This window comes from Homo sapiens, chromosome 19 (genome assembly GCF_000001405.40).
Source record: "Homo sapiens chromosome 19, GRCh38.p14 Primary Assembly".
In the NCBI taxonomy this organism is placed as follows: domain Eukaryota; kingdom Metazoa; phylum Chordata; class Mammalia; order Primates; family Hominidae; genus Homo; species Homo sapiens.
In genome coordinates, this window is record NC_000019.10 from 8967784 (window position 1) to 8990008 (window position 22225).

A 22225-nucleotide genomic window follows, 5' to 3' on the forward strand; every position below is an offset into this window, starting at 1 on the left:
GTGAGAAAAATGTGACATCCCAAGAGCACTCCTAGGGACCATATTTCACATTTTTCTAAGCAATTTGGCACTGCCAAGGACTTCAGCCCATAATCCCTTCTTCCGTAGTAACAAACGCAACATTTGCCATCTCAGGTTCACCTAGGCCCTCCCTGTGAACACAGTGATGGTCTCTGATTTAGAAAGATCCTTCACTCTGGAGCAGAAGAAAGTACAGAAAGAATCGACTCTGTAGCATTCTCTCCTGCTGAATTAATTGGCTATTGATCATGTAAATTAGTAAGTTGAAGCAACAGAAGTGTTCAATTAGTAACATCTATTGGGGAAAAATGATCAATATCCTCAGAGAAGAGTGTCAAGAAGTCAAAGGAACTTTTTTTTTTTTTAGATGGAGTCTTGCTCTGTCACCCAGGCTGGAGAGCAATGGCGTGATCTCGGCTCACTGCAACCTCCGCCTCCCAGGTTCAAGTGATTCTCCTTCCTCAGCCTCCCAAGTAGCTGGGATTACAGGTGTGTGCCACTATGCCCAGCTAATTTTTTGTATTTTTAGTAGAGACAGGGTTTCACTATGTTGGCCAGGCTGGTCTCAAACTCCTGACCTCGTGATCCGCCCACCTTAGCCTCCCAAAGTGCTGGGATTACGGGCGTAAGCCACCACACCCAGCCTAGGAACCTATTTTAAAACCTAGTCCTTGCTGGGTGTGGTGGCTCAAGCCTGTAATCCCAGTGCTTAGGGAGGCCGAGGTAGGTGAATCACTTGAGTCCAGGAGTTTGAGACCAGCCCAAGCAATATAGTGAGAACTATCTCTACAAAAAATTTAAGAAATACACACACAATTAACCAGGCTAATTGGTGATGATCACCTGCAGTTCTAGCTGTTGGGGGAGGCTGAAGTTGGAGGATTGCTTGAGACTGAGGAGGCTGAGGCTGCAGTGAACCATGAACACGCCATTGCACTCCAGCCTGGGCAACAGAGGGAGACCCTGTTTCAAAAAAAAAATGCGGTCTAGGCTGGGCACAGTGGCTCACACCTGTAATCCCTGCACTTTGGGAGGCTGAGGTGGGAGGATCTCTTGGAGCCAGGAGTTTAAGACCACCTTGGGCCACATAGTGAGACCCCATCTGTACAAAAAAAAAAATTTAAAAAAACAACAACAATAAGCTGGGCATAGCACAGAGGCTCTAGAGCCCAGTGAGTGAGCTGGACTGCTGCCCAGCTACTCAGGAGGCTGAGGTGAGAGGATAGCTTGAGCCCAGGAATTTGAGGCTGCAGTGAGTACAGTGAGTACTGCAGTAAATATACACCACTGTACTCCAGCCTGGGTGACAGAATGAGACCATGTCTCAAAAATAAATGAAAGAGAGAGAGAGAGAAAGAAGAGAAGAGAAGGAGAGGAGAGAGAAAGAGAGAGAGAGAGAGAGAGAAGAGAAGGAGAGGAGAGAAAGAGAGGAAGAGAGAAAGAGAGAAAGAAAGGAAAAGTTGCTAGCATTTACTTATAAAATAATGAAACTGAAGCCTTGTATATTTTTTCTTCCCAGAATCAATAAGCAGCACTTTTAGTCAGCAGCAAGCTGTCCTCCCACCTTGGCCTCTCGAGTAGCAGGGACTACAGGCCTGCACGATGCCCAACTTATTTTTTTTAAAAAAAATTTTTTTATAGAGGTGGGGTCTCACTATCTGGTCCAAATTGGCCTTAAGGCTTGGGTGAAAAAAATTAAGTAAAAAAATAAAAAATTTAAAAAGAACAAGAGAAAGAAAGAAAGAGAGAGAGAGAAAGAAGAAAGAAAGAGAAAGAAAGAAAGAAAGAAAGAAAGAAAGAAAGAGAAAGAAAGAAAGAAAGAAAGAAAGAAAGAAAGAAAGAAAGAAAGAAAGAAAGGGAGAGAAAGAAAAGAAAAGAAAAGAAAAGAAAAGAAAAGAAAAGAAAAGAAAAGAAAAGAAAGGCTTGGGTGGCATTAGCAGAGCAGAAATGGAAACAAGGTCTATATTTACCTGCTGGACTGCTCCCCGTCTCCTCTGCTGGGGCAGGCCACGTGGAATTTCCTTGTGCTGCCTGGCTTGACATCTTTATGGTGGTCACTAGCGTTCCATCAGTTGCTGAAAGAAAAGGGCAATAGGAAGGTTTAGCTATCCATTACTTCAGAATGTCAGTTTTTGAGCTTTCTTTACATTGACTGATCTTTCTATTTTGCTTCAACTCAGAGGCTCTAGAGCCCAGTGAGTGAGCTGGACAGCTGCCCAGGTGACCTCCCATCAAACACTAGTCTAACAGGACATGGTAGAAAGCAGACACCAGGCACCGTCACCAGAAAGACTGACAGATCTCAGATGGGAAGGGGTTCATTTTATAAGTAATCACAAATTAAAATGTGACAAGTGGCCAGGCACAGTGGCTTGCCCCTGTAATCTCAACACTTTGGGAGGTCAAAGTGGGAGGATTGCCTGAGCCCAGGAGTTTGAGACCAGCCTGGGTAGGATAGTGAGACACCATCTCTACAAAATAATTTTTAAAACTAGCTGGGCATGGTGATGTGCACCTGTAGTCCCAGCTCCTCTGGAGGATGAAGCAGGAGAATTGCTTGTGCCCAAGAGTTCAGGGTTGCAATGAGCTATGATCACTCCACTGTACTCCAGCCTGGATGACAGAGTGAGACTGTCTCTTTAAAAATAAATGAAATAAAATGGAGTAATATTCTGTTTAGAGCATGGATTCTTAACCTCTTTTTATTATAGGTCCCTTTGACAGGCTTGTGAACCATATGAATTCCTTTATAAATTAAAATAAAAATATAGAATAAAACATAAAATAACAATATAAAATATTAGATTACAAAGGAAATCATTGTGGATAAAGAAAATCTGGTACACATACACCTCGGAGTACTATGCAGCCATAAAAAAGAATGAAATCATGTTCTTTAAAGCAACGTGGCTGGAGCTGAAGGCCATCAACCTAAGCAAAATAACTCAAAAACAGAAAATTAAATACTGCACATTCTCACTTATAAGTGGGAGCTAACCAATGGGTACATGTGGACATAAAGATAGAAATAATAGACACTGGGACTCCAAAATAGAGGAGGCTGGGAGTGAAGTGAGGATTGAAAAACTACTTATTGGGCACAACATTCACTATTTGGCTGATGGGTTCACTAGAAGCCAAACCTCATCATTATGCAGTATATCCACGTAACAAACCTGCACATATACCCCTGAATCTAAAATTTAAAAAACAAAGGAAATGATTATATTGAAATGTTGTTATCAAGATCTTAATAAACAAATGTAATACAATAATACAGGCACTTATTTTACTAACTCATTAAATAAGATCTATTGAAAAGCCTAATAACCACTATAATTATGAATAAAGTCGTACATGATTTTTAAAAGTGCTTGCAACAATTGTCATAGGATATGAAAGTGTCCGGAATTTCTGTTGTTGGCAAAGGCACAGGCACTGCTAGGATTAATGTGGTTTGTTTTGTTACCTCTATTCATCAATAAAACAAATGCTAAATTTCAGTTCGAGGTTAGCAAAAATAAAGATGTAGTTTACAAATACCGCATGTTCTCACTCATAAGTGGGAATTAAACCTTGAGTACACATGGAGACATGTGAATTGAGGGTGGAGGCTGGGAGGAGGGAGAGGATTAAAAAAAATCTACTGATCAGGTACTAGGCTTATTACCTGGCTGATGATGTAATCTGTACCCCAAGCCCCCATGACATGCAATTTACCTATATAACAAACCTGCACATGTTCCCTGAACCTAAAATATTTATATTTTCAAATATAAAAGTTTAAAAAATAAAAAAGATGTAGTTTATTTCCAGATTCATCCCCAGCACACTTGGGGAAGGAGCAGGGCATTCTTACTTTCAACCAAGGAGGTCTTGGCAGGAACTGAAATAGAGCTTGCCCATGTTTCTGGAGAACTCTTTCTTCTGGCTGTGGGTTCTGTGGGAGAAGAGACAGGTAACAAGGATGTTGGGGTCTCAGATGGTGTGAAGGTTAACGTCTGTGTTTCAGCTGTTGTTCCCTCTTCTTCTGCAATGGTCTGGCTTGAGGTTAACTCAGGAGGCTCCTCCTGGGACATATTTAGAGTGGATGTTGGAGAAAGTGTCAGAGCTGAAGTCTGAAGATGCACCAATATGTTGGGCTGCCTTGCCATGGAAGGCCCAAGAAATAGTGAAGTCTTTCTGGAGGTGGATGCAGTGGGGGAAAGGAAGCTTGTTTCTTTCTCAGTGGATAGGCTTATGGGAGAGGAACTAGAACCAGACCTTGCTGCTTGACCTGTGCTGAAGAGAGTTGTGAGTTTTGATGCAAGAGAGGTCGATGTCATAGCTGATGATGCCTTGCTTGGGTCTGGATAAGACATGCTCTCTGAGGCATATCTAGGGTCCCCTGTTCCTGAAGTGGGGACTCTGGGTTCATGCCCTGCCATAGAAGGGGAGGCAGATCCCTCAGGGGTTTCAGTAAAACCTGTTGATTGAAATGAGCTTGCACTTATGGCCTTTGTGGAAGTCATCATCCTTGCCCTTGGGTTTTTTTCTGGAGACTTGGACAGTGAGGAAGATGCTGTGCTTGCATCTGAGTCTGGAATGGTGTTCAGGGACTGTCCAGGAGTTGGTAAAGAAGCGGACTTAGTATCCAAACTTGGGACCTCAGAAAACTCAAATGTCAAGGTAGACTGTGGGATCCCCCAAGTTGGGGGAGCTGTAGTCAGTGAGGCAAAGGCCTTTGATGGGCTTGAGGAGGCAGAGACAGGTGTTAGGAGGCCTGACTCAGCACTGGTGGGCTTCACAGGTATCCCTTTGGGTGCTGTTGATTGAGTAGCTGTCAGTCTGTTCGTGGTGATTTCAGACATGGCTGTAACCTCACCTGGGTTCATGGTCAGAGGGAGAGAAGAAAATGTTTTGGTTCCAGTTGAGTGAGTGGACCCACTTCTGATTCCTCCAGAGCTAGCCATACCCTGGCTTCCTGTGGTTAGTGGCATCACAGATGCCCTCTCAAGCCCAGCTGATGAGTCTACCAAAGCCGTTGTCTCTGAGTTTTCAGAACTCTGACTGAATACAAGGGAACCAGTAGTTCCCGCAGGCAAAGTAGAAAGTGCCACTGTGATCGAACCTTCATAGGTTGTATTCCGTGGAGCAACAATCTTAGAGGGGGAAGTGGAAGAAGGATGGAGTGGACTTTCTGTTACTCCTTGGATAGTGATTCCAGGGATGCTCCTATCTGGGTTACTTACTGTCTTAAGAACCAGTGCATCACCATTTGAGGTCTCTGACATGGTCAGGGTAGTCTCTGGGACTGTGCCAAGACTATCCGAAGCTATAGTCACCAGTGGGGTGGAATCAAAGGATGTAGCTAATGAACTTGTTGGCTCAGTGGCAGTGAGAGGGATGGCTGGAGTGTCCGGGAGTAAAGTAGGGAAGGAAGCTCCAGACAGAGTCCCCGTACTTGGAAATTTAGAAGGTGGCGTGGACACAGTTGAAAACAAGATGGTATCTGTGACCAAAATCTTTGAGGTAAGTGTTGTGTCTGAAGTCTCAGTGACTACCAAAAGGCTCTCAGGAGTAGCTGAAGTTTCCCAGTTTGCTCCAGAGGTGGGTGTAGTTGGGGTCTGTGGTGAAGAATGAATGGCTTTGCTTTCACTCGTAGTGAGAAGACTGGCTTCTGATGTAGCACTGGATCCAGTGACCACTGCTGCTGAGAGATGGGGAGTGAAGGCAGTGGCTGGTTCAATAGTTGATGCTAGAAGTGAGTGTGCCTCTCCTGCAGGACTTGTCTTGAGAAAGCCCATGGCAGGTAAGTCAGTAGTACTGCCTACACTGGTCCATGTACCTGGTGCTGGAACAGAAGTCACCACAGAATTGCTAGAGGTAGGATTTTCTCCGGAGGCAGTGTCAGTGCTGACCATGGTGCTGAAAGTTCTTACTGGTCTAGACCAGGCTAATAGGGCCGAGCTTGTCTCGACAGGGTGGGTGATTGTAAAGGGTGGTAAAGTGGATGGAGTGCCACCCACATTGGAGCCCCCATCAAGAGAATAGGTGTTACTGGAAACAGATGGAGAGGTGGCTGTATTTGTCTCTGTTGTAGATGTGGGAACCTGGGGTCTATCTGAAGAGAAGAGAGATGGGGAGGAACTTGCTGTCATTCCTGAGATGCTAGTGGGACTGATGGAGGCTGTTTTAGTGACATCCATAGTTGAAGAAGCTATGGAGGTGTTGATCAGATCAGAAGAAGAACTGCTATCTGAGGGGAGCTCATTTGTTTTCCGTGCGTCAAGGATATCTGAGGTTTTTACTGTAGTTTCATTATCCAGTGAAACTGTGCTGGTCTCTGTGAAACTAGCAGTGAGAACTATGGGGGAAGTGGTTGGAGCAGCAGAGGTGATTGTCCTTCTCTCTCCCAGTGTAATGGAGGGACTGGCTCCTGTGGGCTTTGTAGACATAGCTGAACTCATCCAATCCCCAGGAATAGGTGTCACTCTTGAAGTCAACTCATGAGTGAGAGATGAAATGGTTCTAAATGAATGAGTTGTCTTTTCTGGGAAATGTGAGATAGTTGTCACTTCAGTATCAGGGGAGGGGGAAAAGGAGACAGTGGGAATACTCTCAGCCCCATCTGAAGGTGTGTCAATTACATCTGATGCTACTGTGGACAAGCCAGGTGGACCTGCGCTGTTTACTGGGATGCTTGTTTCTGTATTAGTAGTTGGATGGGACCCCAAAGGGATTGACACTGTCCATGGATCCTTGTTCATTCTAAAGGAAACCAAAGACTCTGAAGTGGGCAGGGATATTGTCCTAGTTAATTTGGTCCCTGCTGAAGAGGCTGTGCCTAAACTCGGGTTAGCAGTACTCTCAGATGTAAGGCCAGAAACATCTGATCTAGAAGTTATGGCCATTGGAAGAGGGACTTCAGAGCTGATACTTGCCCCCACAGGAGTCTCAGAAAGACCTGTGACCGAGGATGCATCAGTGTTCAAAGTACTCGCGGCTGTATTCTGGGGACCATGGGTCTCTGTTTCTGGATTTCTTTGCTTAGCAGCAGATGTGGATGCAGCTGAAAAGAGTGGAAATTCAGTCGTAGTTGAACTTGGGTTTGAAACCCCAGAATGGCCTGAGGACAGTGCCTCAGATAAACTAGTACTTGGCCAAGTTGTAGTGGGGAGAGATGTAGTGAGGTCCCATAGCCAGGAAGTGATTGCATTCCTCCTACTGATTGTGGAATCCAAGGATTCAAGTGAGGCTGAGGAATATGGAGAGGATGTGCTGCTTCCAGAAGAGACTGAATTCTCATGGGTAGGGGAAGCAGACACTGCCACAGAGTTGACATATGGAGTTGACTGTGTCTGCACAGAAACTTTTTCTGAAGAAACTGCATGTAGTGGTTGAGTGGACTGTTCAATTGTGCCTGTACTGGTCCATACAATTGTTGGTGGGGTGATGGGAGAATGTGTCATGGGTGCTGAGTTGATGTCTGGTCCTGAGGTTATGCCTGTAGAAATGACTTCTTCCACTGGAATGGATGAAAAAGGCAATGTTAAGCTTATGGCCCTGTTTCCAGGAGTGGAAGTCAAAGTGGTCTCTGCTCCAGGAGCTGAGGTCTCAGGTCGGGGATGGATTGAAGAAGACACTTCACTCTTCTCTGTGTAAGTCATGGAAGTGTGAGTGCTGTTTCCCATAGACAGGGACTTAGAAGAGGTATCAGAGCCGTTTTCCAATCTGGAGGCTCTAGTGACACCAGTATTCAATGACCTGTCAGTGGCCAAAGTCCCTGCAGAGCTGGTGTGCACCCCATGGCTGAGGTCAAGTGAATCTGTGGTATTGGGGGCATTACTGAGAGTGAGAGAAATCCATGGTGTCACCTCCATTGATGGAGTTGGAGATGGAAGATCCATAGAGGCAGTTCTGAGTTTTTCTTTTCCTGTATTTTCAGTGCTTCCCAAAGCTGTGGACATAAGGGTAGCTGAGCTGGACTCTGTCCTTGCTGAAGACTTGGAGATGTCTGAGGTCATAACTGTGGTGACCTCCTTGGTCCAAAATGTGCTGCCCCCTATGAATTCCACATCAGGAGTTGTAGGAGATGAGGTTAGAGGGATGCTTGTGCTCATCTGGCTTCCTTCAGCATAGCTGGGTTCAAGAGAGGAGGAGAGAGCTGTATTTCCCTGTGTGTTCAGCCTTGGGCTGCTTCCCTTACTAGAATCTGTGACTCCTTCAGTAGTTGACTCAGAAAGGACAGAGGAAACTCTTCCTAATGACTGGCTGATGCTTCTTCCTGGAGCACTAGTAACAAGGAGTCCCATTGTCCCAGCCATAGAGACAGTGGCTGTAGAACTTCTTCTTTCCAGTGCCATGTTTGTGGATGTCTCAGCTGGGGAGGATGTTCCTATGGGAAGGTGGGCTATGCCCAGGGTGACTCCACTACTACTGCTCCCTGTTGTTGTGTTGTCCATGGGTGGAGTGGATTGAATGTTTGTTGGGCCAGTCTCAATCTCTCTGGACAGTGTGTCTGTAGATGGTTTCCAAAAAGTGGTTGCCTCAGAGGAGCTTCTCCCTTGTGTCCCGAGCTCAGGGTAGACTTCAGTAAGATGGGAAGGGGATGCTGAGGCTGGTATAGATGTTTGATCTTTGAGTGACTGTGTCACGTGAGTAGGACTCATCGTTGCAGAAAGGGTGTCCTGTGCTTGTGTTGAGTGTTCAATCACACTGGTCCACGTGGTTGTCAGTGGGGTGATAGGAACAGTTGTTAAGTCCCCAGTTCTGCCCAAACTCCTGATTCCTAGGTGCTGATCCAACGTTGTTGAATCTGTATTTCTAATGGCACTGGTATCTGCCTCTGACTTTGAAAGTTCATGAGAAGGTGTGGACATAGGTGGAAAAATAGCAAATGTACTCATGGGTGAACTTGGACTTGAAATATCAAGGTCTGTTGAAGCCATTTCCTCTGTCAAACTGGTACTCAGCCATGTTGCCATGGGGAGAGTGATTGTGGTCTGCTCACTGGGAGCAAGGACCAGGGGTTCCCCTGGGACATCAGAAGTTAGTTCCAATGTGCTGCTTCCAATGGTAGGGGAGGTAGGGATTACTACAGAGACAGGTCCTGGAGCTGACTGTGTCTCAAATCCAGATGATTTTTCTGCCAATTTTGTGTAATGTAATTGAGTGGAGTGTTCAGTTGTGTCTGTGATGGTCCATGCTTTTGTGGCCGGACTGGTGAGATTGGGTGAACTTGAGATTTTAGGACTTCCAGAGTAAGCAGCTGGGGTGGCGGACTCTGTCTTTGGATGGTTTTCTGTGGTTCTGAGTGTCCTCACTGAGTGGGGTGTAGAGACCTGAGCTGAACTTGTATCCTTAGGATCCGTAGTGGTGATGTAGGTGGTGGGGTCCCAGGTACTACCAGTGTTAGTCTCTCCAGGAGCTGTCATCTCAGGTGAAGACCCAGAAGAGTAAGCCATTCTGGCTGTTGATACATGAATGTGGGTCTCTATTGAGGGGAAGGTGAGAGGTGTGTAAGAGCCAGGTTTTACTACTGAAGCCATGGTAAGTTTGATGGTGCTTGGACTTTCTGAACTAGCGTGTGCTCCGAGGTGGATGCTGGGTGTGTTTGTTGATTCAGGGTAGGTGCTGAGGGTTGGAAGTCCCCCTTCTGATGCCTCCAATGATGTGGCTGGAGATGGAGTGTCCAAGGGAACCAGGGTGCTTTTTCCTATGGCACCACTTGTTGGAATATTACTTGGTGTCAAGGAAGTCGTGGAAGGTAAGTTGGGCATGTTCCACCGACTAGTTTCAACTGTGTCCATTATCATGCTTGTGGTGACTCTCTGAGTTGAAAATGTGGAGCTCATTGTGACTTTGGGAGTAGGAGAAGAAGGAGATGAGGACAAGATGCCAAGCCAGGTGCTTCTAGCAGAGCCAGGATCAGGAGATGGAGGGTGAGTTGCAGTCATTTGTGGAGTCAGAGCTGAGCTTGTTCCATCTCTAGGTATTGTAATTTCTCTGGATGTTAAATGATAGACATCATCAGAAAATGTGTCAACGAATTGGCTTGTCCTTCCTGGAGTGCTTGAGCCAGCAGCATCCATGGACTGAGATGGAGATACTGACATTGAGACACTTTCTTTGGCCATGGTAAAATCCATAGATGTCTCAGAGGAAGCTGTGGTTCCAATGGGCAGATGGCTTGTGTCCAATCTTCCTTCAGTAATGTAGCCCTTTCCAATTGGGATGTTGGTAGAAGCCACAGCCATAGAGCCTGGGCCATTCGTGGTCTCTGTTGTGAGGATGGTTGTTGATGGTTCCCTGATAGAAGTTGCTTCCATGGAACTAGTTGCTGGAGAAGTGAATTTAGAGACCATTACAGTAGCAGAGAGAGAAGTGGCAGAGGTTGAAACAGTGGTTGTTGCTGAAGGTAACCCTGTCTTGAATCTGGGACTAGTCTCTGGCCAAGTTGTGCTTTGGGGTGCAGCAGAGTCATTAAACGTGTCTCTATTGGTCTGTGACATTGTTGCCGTCCCAGTGAGGTGAGATATTTTAGGAAGAGCTGAACCAGTTGAGTTTGTAACTGAGGTACTGCTCGTAGCTCTGAGCTCACTCACTAGGTGGGATGAAGAGAACTGAGCTGAACGTGTAGGCCAGGTGTCCATGGTGGGGAATACTGGGGTAGGGACAGAGGTGCTGGCCAAGGTGGTCCTTACTCTGGAAACAGAAGTCTCAGGTTGAGACACAGATGGATTCGAAGTTTCCTCTGTTTCTTCTCCACTAGTAAATAGATGAGTGGAAGGAGTAGATGAAGAAAATGTGGTTTTGACTCCAGAGACACTTGGGAGGCTGAGAGTGCTAGGACTCTCTGACGATTCTGAAGTCAGTGTCCCAGTTGGGTGGATGTTAGGTGAGTCTGTAGTCTCAGCAGAGGTGCTGAGAGTGAGGACACTCCCTGCTGTCTCTTCCCCTGATGGAGATGGATGAGTCAGAGGGGAAGTTGCATTTCTGACTCTTTCAGGACTTGTTGCTGCATTGCTTAGGGTCATGGAGGAAAGAACGGCTGAGCTGGGCTTTGTCTTTGTTGAGATTTCAGGAGTCCCTGTGGTAATAGATGAGGTGGCTTTGTGGTGTGAGAATGTGCTGGTCGCTGACACTTTATCCTCAAGAACTGAAGCAGATGACAACAGAGGAATGCTGGTGCTTATCTTGGTGTGTCCTGCAGAGTCTGGTTCAGGGGAAGAGAAGGGATGTCTAGTGTTTAATGGAGTCAGTCCCAGGCTGGTTCCTTCCCTGAAAGCTGAGGACTGTAGAGATGATGTCTCAGGGATGACAGAAGAAACCATTGTATATGATGGCTTTGTCCCTCCTGGAGGACTTGAGCCAGCAGCCGTCTTGCTCACTGCTGGAGACACGGAGACTGGGACACCGTTCGTGGCCAGAGTCAAATCTGCGGATGTCTCAGATGATGCTGTGGCTCTGGTGAGTAGGTGGGTTGTGCCCTGGCTTCCCCTGGTGCTGCTGCCTCCTGTCATTGAAATCCCAGTGGGAACAGCAAACTGATGGGTGGTTGGGCCAGCTGTGGATTCTCCGATGAGTGTGTCTGCAGATGTTTCTTCAAGCCAAATCCCTTTTGTGGAGCTGGTCTTCAGGGTGGTGAAGCCAGAGACCACTGAGGGAACAGAAGTGGTGATAGGGGCTGCCACACTGGTTGATGCTGGGGGTCTCTCTGTTTTCATGCTAGGACTTGTCTCCACCCACTGTGTGTGCTGGGGTTCACTAAATTGCTGAGCTGTGCTTTCACTGGTCCATGATGATGCTTTTGAGGTGCTGGAAGTGGTTGCCCTCAGGATGTCAGAGCTCCCGTGGGCAGCTGTGCTGGAACTCTGCCTCCCAGAGGTGCTGCCTGTGGTTCTGAGCTCTCTTGTTGGGTGGGATGAAGAGACCTGAGATGGACTTCTGATCTTGCTGTCAAGAGTTGTAAAACCTAGAGTGGGGACCAAGGTGGCAGTCATTTCGGACTCTTCTCCAGGAGCAGAGGTCTCAAGTGGAGTCATAGATGTATTCAAAGTTCCTTCTGTTTCCTTTCCACTCGTGGAGTGATGGGTGTTGGTCTCCTCTGAGACTAAAGTGGTAGATGGAGATGTGGTTGTCAGCGCTGAAGTGCTGGTGCCACCAAGGGTACCTGGACTTCCCAACCATTCTGAAGCCAAAGTCTTGGCTATGTGGGTGCTGGGTATATCCATGGTCTCAGCGAAGGCATGGAAGGTAAGGATAGTCTCTGCTGTCTGCTTTGTGGATATTGATGGAGTCCCCAGAGAGGAAATTGTGCTTCTGACCCTTTCGGCACTTGTTTCTGCATTGCTTAGTGTCATGGAAAAAGGGATAGCTGAGTTGGGCATTGTGCTGGCTCTGGCCTCGGGCACCCCAGGAGACAGAGGGGAGGTGAGACTCTGGCCTGAGAATATGCTGGTCTCTGATATTTTATTATCGAGAACTGAAGCAGATGATGACAAAGGCGCACTGGTACTTATTCTGCTGTGTCCTGCAGAGCCAGGTTCAGGAGAGGAGAAGGGATATCCAGTGGTTGATAGAATCAGTTCCAGGCTTGTTTCACCTCTGGAATTTGGGGTCCCTTTAGGTGATAGGTCAAGGAAGGAAGAATAAAGTGTCCCAAATGATGGGTTTGTCCTTCCTGGAGTATGTGAGTCAGTAACTGTGGTCTCAGCTGGAGTCATAGACACTGGGGCATTTTCCTTGGATGCAGTTGAATCTGCAAATGTTTTCATTGGAGATGTGATTTTTACAGGAATATATCTTGTGTCCCAGGGGGTCTCTGTGCTGTCACCTTCAGTTGTTGAGGTCTCAGTGGGGACTGTGTACTTCTCAGTGACTGGGCCACTTGTGGTCTCTACAGTGAGTGTGTATGTAGATGCTTCTTTGGTAAAATTTCCTTCTGTGGAACTGGTCCTGGTCCTTGGGGAACTCAATCCTGAAACCATGCTTGTAGCAGGGTAGTTCCTAGAGGGAGTTCCATTGACCTGGGGACTCAGCGATGGGCTGGTTCTTTGCTCGGAGTGTGTCATTCCTCTAGAGGTTGACTCAGGGAGAGCAGAGGACATCACCCCCAAAGACTGGGTGGTTCTTCCCACAACCGAAGATGTAGGACTGGCCAAGGTCTTATCTGGGGAAGTAAAGGGCAGAGTATGTTCTGTCACCACGATTGCACCTGTAGATGTCTTAGGTGACAAGGTGGCTCCTGTCAGTCCTGAATCCATTTCTGGTGTGGCTTTAGTGCTCCTGCTCCCTGTCATCAAGGAGCGGGTGGGAGAAGATGACCCAGGAAGGCCTGAGGGTTTCAGCATGGACAGGTCAACATTTGCCTCTGGATGGAGGTCTAAGAAGAATCCCCTCAGAGAGGGTGGCCTCTGCAGAGCTTCTGAGCTCCCTGAAACTCCAAAATTTCTCAGGGTGGGAGATATGGCTGGGGTCCCCGCATTTGACCTGGGAAAACCTGTGTCTAGAAGAGCTGCCGTATGTATGGAGGTTGGGGGAATTGTGCAACGCTTCTAATTGAGAAGACCAAATCTCAGGGAGAGAAAGGAAAGGATAGTTCAACCACAGACAATTTCCTCAAATAAACACCTGATGATCTCAATTCTTCCCTTCAAACTTTTTAACGGATTCTCAGTGTCTGCAGAATAGAATTTCTTAGTGTATCATGTCTTAATGATCCTCTCTCTCTCTCTCTCTCTGAGTGTGTGAGTGTGTGTGTGTGTGTGTGTGTGTGTGTGTGATGTCTTAGAAACCAGGAACCAGGCTGGGCACGGTGGCTCATGCCTGTAATCCCAGCACTTTGGGAGGTGAGGTGGGAGGATCACCTGAGGTTGGGAGTTTGAGATCAGCCTGACCAACATGGAGAAACCCCGTCTCTACTAAAAATACAAAATTATTTTTAATTTTTTAAAAATAATTTTAAAAAAAATTTTAATAAAAATAAATATTGGGTGTGGTGGCATGTGTCTGTAATCCCAGCTACTTAGGAGGCTGAGGCAGGAGAATCACTTGACCCTAGGAGGCAGATGTTGCAGTAAGCCAAGGTCACACCACTGCACTCCAGCATGGGTAATAAGAGCTCTGTCTCAAAAAGAAAGAGAAAGAAAGAAAAGAAAGGAAGGAAGGAAGGAAGGAAGGAAGGAAGGAAGGAAGGAAGAAAGAAAGAAAGAAAGAAAGAAAGAAAGAAAGAAAGAAAGAAAGAAAGAAAGGAAGGAAGGAAGGAAGGAAGGAAGGAAGGGAGGGAGAGAAAGAGAAAGAAGGAAGGAAGGAAGGAAAAAAAGAAAGAAAGAGAAAGAAAGAGAAAGGAAGGAAGGAGGGAGGGAGGGAAGGAAGAGAGAAAGAAAGAAAGAAGGAAAGAAAGAAAGAGAGAAAGAGAGAGGGAGGGAGGGAGGAAGGGAGGAAGGAAGAAAGAAAAGGAAAGAAAGAGAGGACCGAGGGAGTGAGGAAGGGAGGAAGGGAAAGAAAGAAAAAAAGAAAGAAAGATGCAGATAGAGCCCCTACCTACACCCCCATGAGATGGAGCTAATGCTCAGTGTGTGATACTGGCAGATACTAAGGCTCTTGAATTGAGAAGTGGAGGTCAGAGAAGACACGGCACTTCTGTTCAGATCAGAGCAGGGGCCCACAGATGCACTCTCAGGAATCAGTGGAAGTTGCTCTTGATTAAAATCTCATGACCCTGGCCTGCTGGGCGTGGTGTCTCATGCCTGTAATCCCAGCATTTTGGGAGGCTGAGGTGGGCAGATCACGAGGTCAAGAGATGGAGACCATCCTGGCTAATATGGTGAAACCCCATCTCTACTAAAAATACAAAAAATTAGCTGGGTGTGGTGGCGCCCACCTGTAATCCCAGCTACTCAGGAGGCTGAGGCAGGAGAATCGCTTGAACCCGGGAGGCGGAGGTTGCAGTGAGCCAAGATCACACCACTGCACTTCAGCCTGGGCGACAGAGCCAGAGTCTGTCCCAAGAAAATAATAAATAAATAAATAAAATTTCATGACCCAGAGGGTGAAGAAGATGAGGTTGAATCATGTAAAGGTCTAGCGATGCTGATTTAGGACAGAAGAGGAAAAAAAAAAGAATTTCCTGGCAGCTCACTATCTCTGGCTGTTTTTGTTGAGGGAAAAGTGCAGGGAAGATTTTTCACTTTGGGCATTACTATGATTTGAATGTCCCCTCCAAAACTCTGTTGAAACTTAATCCCCAGTGTGGCAGTATTGAGAGGTGGGGCCTTTAAGAGGTGATTGGGTGATGAGGGCTCTGTCCGTATGAATAGATTAATCCATTCATGACTAACCCATGGATTAGTGGGCTAACATGGGAAGGGACTTGGTGGCTTTAAAAGAAGCTTTAGGCCATGCATGGTGGCTCATGCTTGTAATCCCAGCACTTTGGGAGGCTGAGGTGGGTGGATTACTTGAAGTCAGGAATTCGAGACCAGCCTGGCCAACATGGTGAAACCATGTCTCTACAAAAAAATACAAAAATTAGCCAGACATAGTGGTGCGCACCTGTGGTCCCAGCTACTCAGGAGGCTAAGAGAGGAAAATCACTTGAACCCAGGAGGTGGAGGTTGCAGTGAGCCAAGATCGCAGCACTGCACTCCATCCTGGGTGACAGATTGAGACTCCATCTCAAACAAAAAAAGAAAAGAAAAGCTTTAAAATAGGAAGTGAGACCTGTGCTATCACATTAGCGCACTCAGCTGTCTTGACGTGTGATGCCCTGTCTACCTCTGGATGCCACAGAGTCCCCACCAGCAACAGGGCTCTCACCAGGTGTGCCCCTCTGGATTTCAACTTTCCAGCCTCCATATCTGTAATAGATACATTATTTTTCTTTGTAAATTACCCAGTTTCAGCTGTTCTGCTATAAGCAATGCAATACAGACTAAGATAGGCATGGCTCATGGATTTCTCTCAAGATGAGGCCCACCTTGGTTCTAAGCTGCGTCTCCTAGGAATTGAGTTTTTCCCTAGGCCGGTGGGGTAAGTGAAACTATAATTCATTCCTCATGCTTTCCCAATCTTCTTTTCTACTCAGGAGCTACCAATTTTATCCAGGTCAAAATGATTGAAGAACCACGTCCTTTGCCCACTGTGTAATGTTTCTTTTGTTTGTTTGTTTTGTTTTTTGCTGGTTTTTTAAATTATAAATTCGTTTATTTTTTATTTTTTATTTTTTTTGAGATGGAGTCTCACTCTGTCACCCAGGCTGGAGTGCAGTGGTGCAATCTCGGCTCACTGCAACCTCCACCTTCCGGGTTCAAGCGATTCTTCTGCCTCAGCCCCTGGAGTAGCTGGAATTACAGGCATGTGCCACCATGCCCGGCTAATTTTTGTATTTTTAGTAGAGATTGGCTTTCTCCATGTTGGGCAGGCTGGTCTCGAACTCCCAACCTCAGGTGATCCGCCAAAGTGCTGGGATTACAGGTGTGAGCCACCACACCCGGCACGTTTCTTTTAGATGCTGGATATTAGACCTTTGTCAGATGCAAAGTTTGTAAAGCTTTTCTCCCATTCTGTAGATTGTCTGTTTACTCTGTTGATAGTTTCCTTTACTGTGCGGAAGCTCTTTAGTTTAATTAAGGGCCTATTGGAGGGTGGAGGGTGGGAGGAGGGAGAAGATCAGGAAAAATAACTAATGGATACTAGGCTTAATACCTGGGTGATGAAATAATCTGTAAAACCAACCCCAATGGCAAAAGTTTACCTATATAACAAGCCTGCACATGTACCCCTAAACTTAAAATAAAAGCTAAATTTTAAAAAAGAAAATAAAAGTCTTCTGATCCCAAATAAAACAACTTAGATGCAAAAAAGTGCTATAAGACATATACATTATTAGCTCACTCTTCTTCTGAACTAAGAGTTCCTGCTGGGCGCAGTGGCTCACGCCTGTAATCCCAGCACTTTGGGAGGCCAAAGCGGGCGGATCACCTGAGGTCAGGAGTTCAAGACCAGCCTGGCCAACATGGTTAAACCCCGTCTCTACTAAAAATACAAAAACTAGCTGGGCGTGGTGGCGGGTGGCTGTAATTCCAGCTACTCCGGAGGCTGAGACAGGAGAATCACTTGAACCTGGGAGGCGGAGGTTACAGTGAGCCAAGATCGCACCATTGCACTCCAGCCTGGGAGACAAAGAGCAGAATTCCATCTAAAAAAAAAAAAAAAAAAAAAAATCCTTCCAAGAGAGTCCTGAGGAGAGCAGATTACTTGAGGTCAGGAGTTCAAGACCAGCCTGACCAACATGGTGAAACTCCGTCTCTACCAAAAAATACAAAAATTAGCCGGGGGTGGTGGCAGGCGCCTGTAATCCCAGCTACTCAGGAGGCTGAGACACCAAAATTGCTTAAACTCGGGAGGCAGGGGTTGCAGTCAGCTGAGATTGTGCCACTGCACTCCAGCCTGGGTGACAGAATGAGACTCTGTCTCAAAAAAAAAAAAAAAAATCAGGGGTTATAGGCTGGGCTTCCTGTCCCCCAACTACTCTGGATTAGAATCTCAAAACAAGATAAAGATTAGAATTGCATACTTGTACATGGTCATAAAGCTGGAGGTTAAATAAAAAGTTAGGGAGCCCTGTAGCTGGGGAGCAAACTCCAACACAGGCGTCCCTTGCACTTCCCCTATGGAAAAGATCAAAAATGTTCGTCTTCAAAGAGATTAACAAAGCTCCGGGAGACCATAACAATGTGGAGGAGATGAGATTGGAGCATACCTGCAGGACTGATTGTTGATTTTTCTACCAGAGGGCTGCCTGTTGGCCATACTGAGGTTCCATGTGGGGATGACGAATTCTCCCCAGGCTCGTGAGTTCCTGTGAGGAGAAAAGGATGGAAAGAGCACCTAAGTAAGGAAGCTCAGAACAGGGCATGATGGTTCACACCTGTAATCCCAGCACTTTGGGATGCTGAGCAGTAGGATCACTTGAGGCCAGGGGTTCAAATCCAGCCTGGGCAATATAGAAAGACCCCATCTTTACAAAACAATTTAGAAAATTAACCAGGCGTGGTGGTGCTTGCCTGTAGTTCCAGCTACTCGCGAGGCTGATGTTGGAGGACCACTTGAACCAAAAATTAGCCAGGAGTGGTGGCACGTTCCTGTAATCCCAGCTACTTGGGAGGCTGAGGTAGGATAATTGCTTGAACCCAGAAGGCGGAGGTTGCAGTGAGCCGAGGTCATGCCACTGCACTCCAGCCTGGGCGACAGAGCGAGACTCGGCCTCAAAAAAAAAAAAAGAAAGAAAGAAAGAAAGCATGATTTGTAGACCAAAAAGGAATTGGGGAATTGGGGATGACAGTAGGTGAGGCATTCCAGGTTAAATAATGGCTTTGACCCAAGTAAGACATGAGAACATGATACAATGGGAGTCCTTCTACCATCTTCACAGATTGTTTTGCAAGTAGAGCATCAGCATGGGTGGAAGTAGCTACACCGTCTACATTGCATTGACTCAGGAATGGCACAGGAGACTGTCCTCAATGACTGAATCACTGAGCCAGGAGTAGCTGTGGTCTCAGCTGGGAGAATCCATACTCATGGCTGTATTCATGACTTTAGGAGGCTGCTGTTGTGAATCATCTGGATCCACTATGTGGTGTGGCTGTTGTGGATTTTGCAAATTCTGCTCTGGGTAGACGTGGCCTGGAGGGCAGTGGAGGTGGCTGTTGTCCCCATGGTGATGATTGCTGTTGACATCTACCTTGCAAAGGTCGCCTCAGTGATGCTATTTGTTGGGCAATGCTGGGCTCATTGGTTCCTCTGGTGACGACAGGCTTTCTGGTGCTTTGGGCAGCCAGGCTGTCACTGATGTCACACCTTTGGGATGTTCCTTTGAGTACAGAATGTGCTCTGATCTTTCCCTGTTGCATCGCTCTCTTGTCTACTGGGTCAAAACATTAGCAGAGAAGATGCTACATGCAGGTGTTATGTGGAGTGCCTTGGTCCTCACCACAACCTGGGGAGACAAGTGCTATCCTTCCCATTTTACAGCTGAAGAAACTGAAGTCTAAGGAGGTGAAATGACAAGCCTCAGGTCCCAGAACCAGGAAGTGGCAGAGTTAGGATTTTCTTTAGAGAGTTAACAATATATATATATATTTTTTTTTTTTTTTTGAGACGGAGTCTTGCTCTGTTGCTCAGGCTGAAGTGCAGTGGTGTGATCTCAGCTCACTGCAACCTCTGCCTTTTGGGTTCAAGCAATTCTCCTGCCTCAGCCTCCCGAGTAGCTGGAACTACAGGCATGTGCCACTATGCCTGGCTAATTTTCGTATTTTTAGTAAAGACGGGGTTTCACCATGCTGGCCAGGCTGGTCTCAAACTCCTGACCTCAGGTGATCTGCTGCCTCGGCCTCCTTGGATTACAAGCATGAGCCATTGCACCTGGCCGAGTTAACAGTATTTTCTTTAGAGAGTTAACAATGTTTTTAAAGTAAAGTTAACAATATTTAAACACCATGATATAAAGTTAATATGTTGCTTTAGAGATGGGGTCTTGCTCTGTTGCCCAGACTGGAGTGCAGTGGTACGATCTTAGCTCACTGTAGCCTCGAACTCCTGGGCTCAAGTAATCCTTCTGCCTCAGCCTCTCAAGTAGCTGGGACTACAGGTGGGTGCCACTATGCCCAGAGAATTTTTTTTTAATTTTTAGTAGAGTTGAAGTTTCACTATGTTGTCCAGACTGGTCTCAAACTCCTGGCCTCAAGTGATCCTTCTGCCTCAGCCTCCCAAAGCACTGGGATTACAGGCACTAGCCACCACACACCACACACAGCCAGAGTTAGGATTTATTATTTTATTTTATTTATTTATTTATTTATTTATTTTGACATGGAGTCCTTTTCTGTCGCCCAGGCAGGAGTGCAGTGGCATGATCTCGGCTCACTGCAACCTCCGCCTCCTGGGTTCAAGTAATTCTCTTGCCTCAGCCTCCCAAGTAGCTGGGATTACAGGCACGCACAACCATACCTGGCTAATTGTTTTGTTTTGTTTTGTTTTGTTTTGTTTTGTTTTGTTTTGTTTTGTTTGAGATGGACTCTCACTCTGTCGCCTAGGCTGGAATGCAGTGGCGGGATCTCGGCTCACTGCAAGCTCCACCTCCCGGCTTCACGCCATTCTCCTGCCTCAGCCTCCCAAGTAGCTGGGACTACAGGTGCCTGCCACCACGCCCGGCTATTTTTTTTTTTTTTTTTTTTTTTTTTTTGGTATTTTTAGTAGAGACAGGGTTTCACCGTGTTAGCCAGGGTGGTCTCGATCTCCTGACCTCGTGATCCGCCCGCCTCAGCCTCCCAAAGTGCTGGGATTACAGGCGTGAGCCACTGCGCCCAGCCTAATTTTTGTATTTTTAATAGAGACGGGGTTTCGCCACGTTAGCCAGGCTGGTCTCGAATTCCTGACCTCAGGTGATCCGCCCGCTTCGGCCTCCCAAAGTGCTGGGATTACAGGCCTGGGCCACTGCGCTTGGCCCAGAATTAGAATTTAACCAGTAGTTTTTGTAGATGCTACACCCCGCGAGGAAGACACAAGTGCCCCCTGCTGGCCAATCCTTTTAGTTTATCTTCTTGTATGTATCAGATTTAGTTATTATTTACGTAGCTAAAAGAATCTCGGGTCTATTTGGTTACTTTGGTTACCTAATACTTGACCTATTTGGAAATAGAAAAGGATGTTTCCTGTTTGTTTAGAGGCATTCCAAAGGTTCTACAGACAGTGATATTTCACTACCTAGTCATAGCCTTGTCCATGTCAAGTAGTTCGGGTGCTTTCTTACCTTGGGTCCTCACACATTCTTAGTTCTTAGCTGAATCTTCTATTTTTGAAACAGGGTCTTGCTCTGTCACCCAGGCTGGAGGGCAGAGGTGTGATCGTAGCTCACTGCAGCCCCGATCTCTTGGGCTCAAGCAATCCTCCCGCCTCGGCCTCCTGAGTAGCTGGGACTACAGGCATGCACCACCATGCCTGGCTAATTTTTTCTTTTTTTAATTGTAGAGATGCAGTCTTGTCATGTTGCCTAAAGTGATCTCCAACTCCTGGGCTCAAGCAATCCTCCCTCCTCAGCTTCCCAAAGTGTTGGGATTACGGGTGTCAGCCACCACGCCAGACCTCAGCTAAATCTTTTCTATCTTTGAAAATGCTACAGTACCCGATGTTTCCTAGAATTTAGATGGCAAGCTGTGTCATAGGGACATCTCGTGCAGGAGGGGAAAAGGGTGAAGGCATGACGCATTGCTGAACAAGACTAGTAGTAATACTTAGTTGGCGGGGGGGGCGGGTCTTGAAATTTATGGCCGGGCGTGGTGGCCCACACCTGTAATCCCAGCACTTTGGGGGGCCGAGGTGGGTGGATCACCTGAGGTCAGGAGTTCAAGACCAGCCTGACCAACATGGAGAAACCCCATCTCTACTAAAAATACAAAATTAGCCGGATGTGGTGGCACATGCCTGTAATCCCAGCTACTCTGGAGGCTGAGGCAGGAGAATCGCTTGAACCCGGGAGGTGGAGTTTGCGGTGAGCCGAGATCAAGCCATTGCACTCCAGCCTGGGCAACAAGAGTGAAACTCCGTCTCAAAAAAATAAATAAATAAAAATTAAAAAATAAATTTGGAAAGCCATTCCCAAGGGCATGTAGCCCTAGATGATTTTCCAGGGAGTCTGAAAAGCAATACTTACGAAGACAGTTAGTCAATTTGTAACCTTAGCATTGACTAGGAACAAGTAGAGCTTGAAAGGGCAGCTGAGGCTGGGCGCGGTGGCTCAAGCCTATAATCCCAGCACTTTGGGAGGCCGAGGCGGGCGGATCACGAGGTCAGGAGATCGAGACCACGGTGAAACCCCGTCTTCACTACAAATACAAAAAATTAGCTGGGCGCGGTGGCGGGCGCCTGTAGTCCCAGCTGCTCAGGAGGCTGAGGCAGGAGAATGGCGTGAACTCTGGAGGCAGAGCTTGCAGTGAGCCAAGACTGCGCCACTGCACTCCAGCCTGGGCGACAGAGCGAGACTCAGTCAGTCTCCAAAAAAAAAAAAGAAAAGAAAAGAAACGAAAAGAAAAGAAAAGGGCAGCTGAACCCCTGGAGAGGCAGAGAATGGGGCACTTCTGTCAATCAGCACCACAGTGGTAGATGTCTCTGCCCCAGTTCCTGTGGGTAGGTGGGCTGTGTGTGTATGGAGTCAGGATTG

At 46.8% G+C, this 22225-nt stretch overlaps 1 protein-coding gene across 4 annotated transcripts in view, besides 1 other annotated feature; it reads right to left on the reverse strand.

Moving 5' to 3' along the window:
* The window catches only part of MUC16 (mucin 16, cell surface associated), a gene marked incomplete in the record, with an annotated part of 216908 nt that overhangs the window by 118940 nt on the left and 75743 nt on the right, over positions 1 to 22225 (reverse strand). For 2 of the 4 annotated variants that reach the window (NM_001414686.1, NM_001401501.2), the window contains 3 exon segments: positions 1992 to 2096; positions 3881 to 13174; positions 17768 to 17866. In NM_001414686.1, the coding sequence (NP_001401615.1) occupies positions 1992 to 2096; positions 3881 to 13174; positions 17768 to 17866 (9498 nt within the window). 4 annotated transcript variants of the gene reach the window in all.
* Positions 5797 to 5997: a silencer, noted in NCBI's record as "peak3341 fragment used in MPRA reporter construct". NCBI's record gives its function as "represses an SCP1 promoter by STARR-seq MPRAs in K562 erythroleukemia cells {active_cell/tissue: K562}" and the evidence as "EXISTENCE:reporter gene assay evidence [ECO:0000049][PMID:32103011]".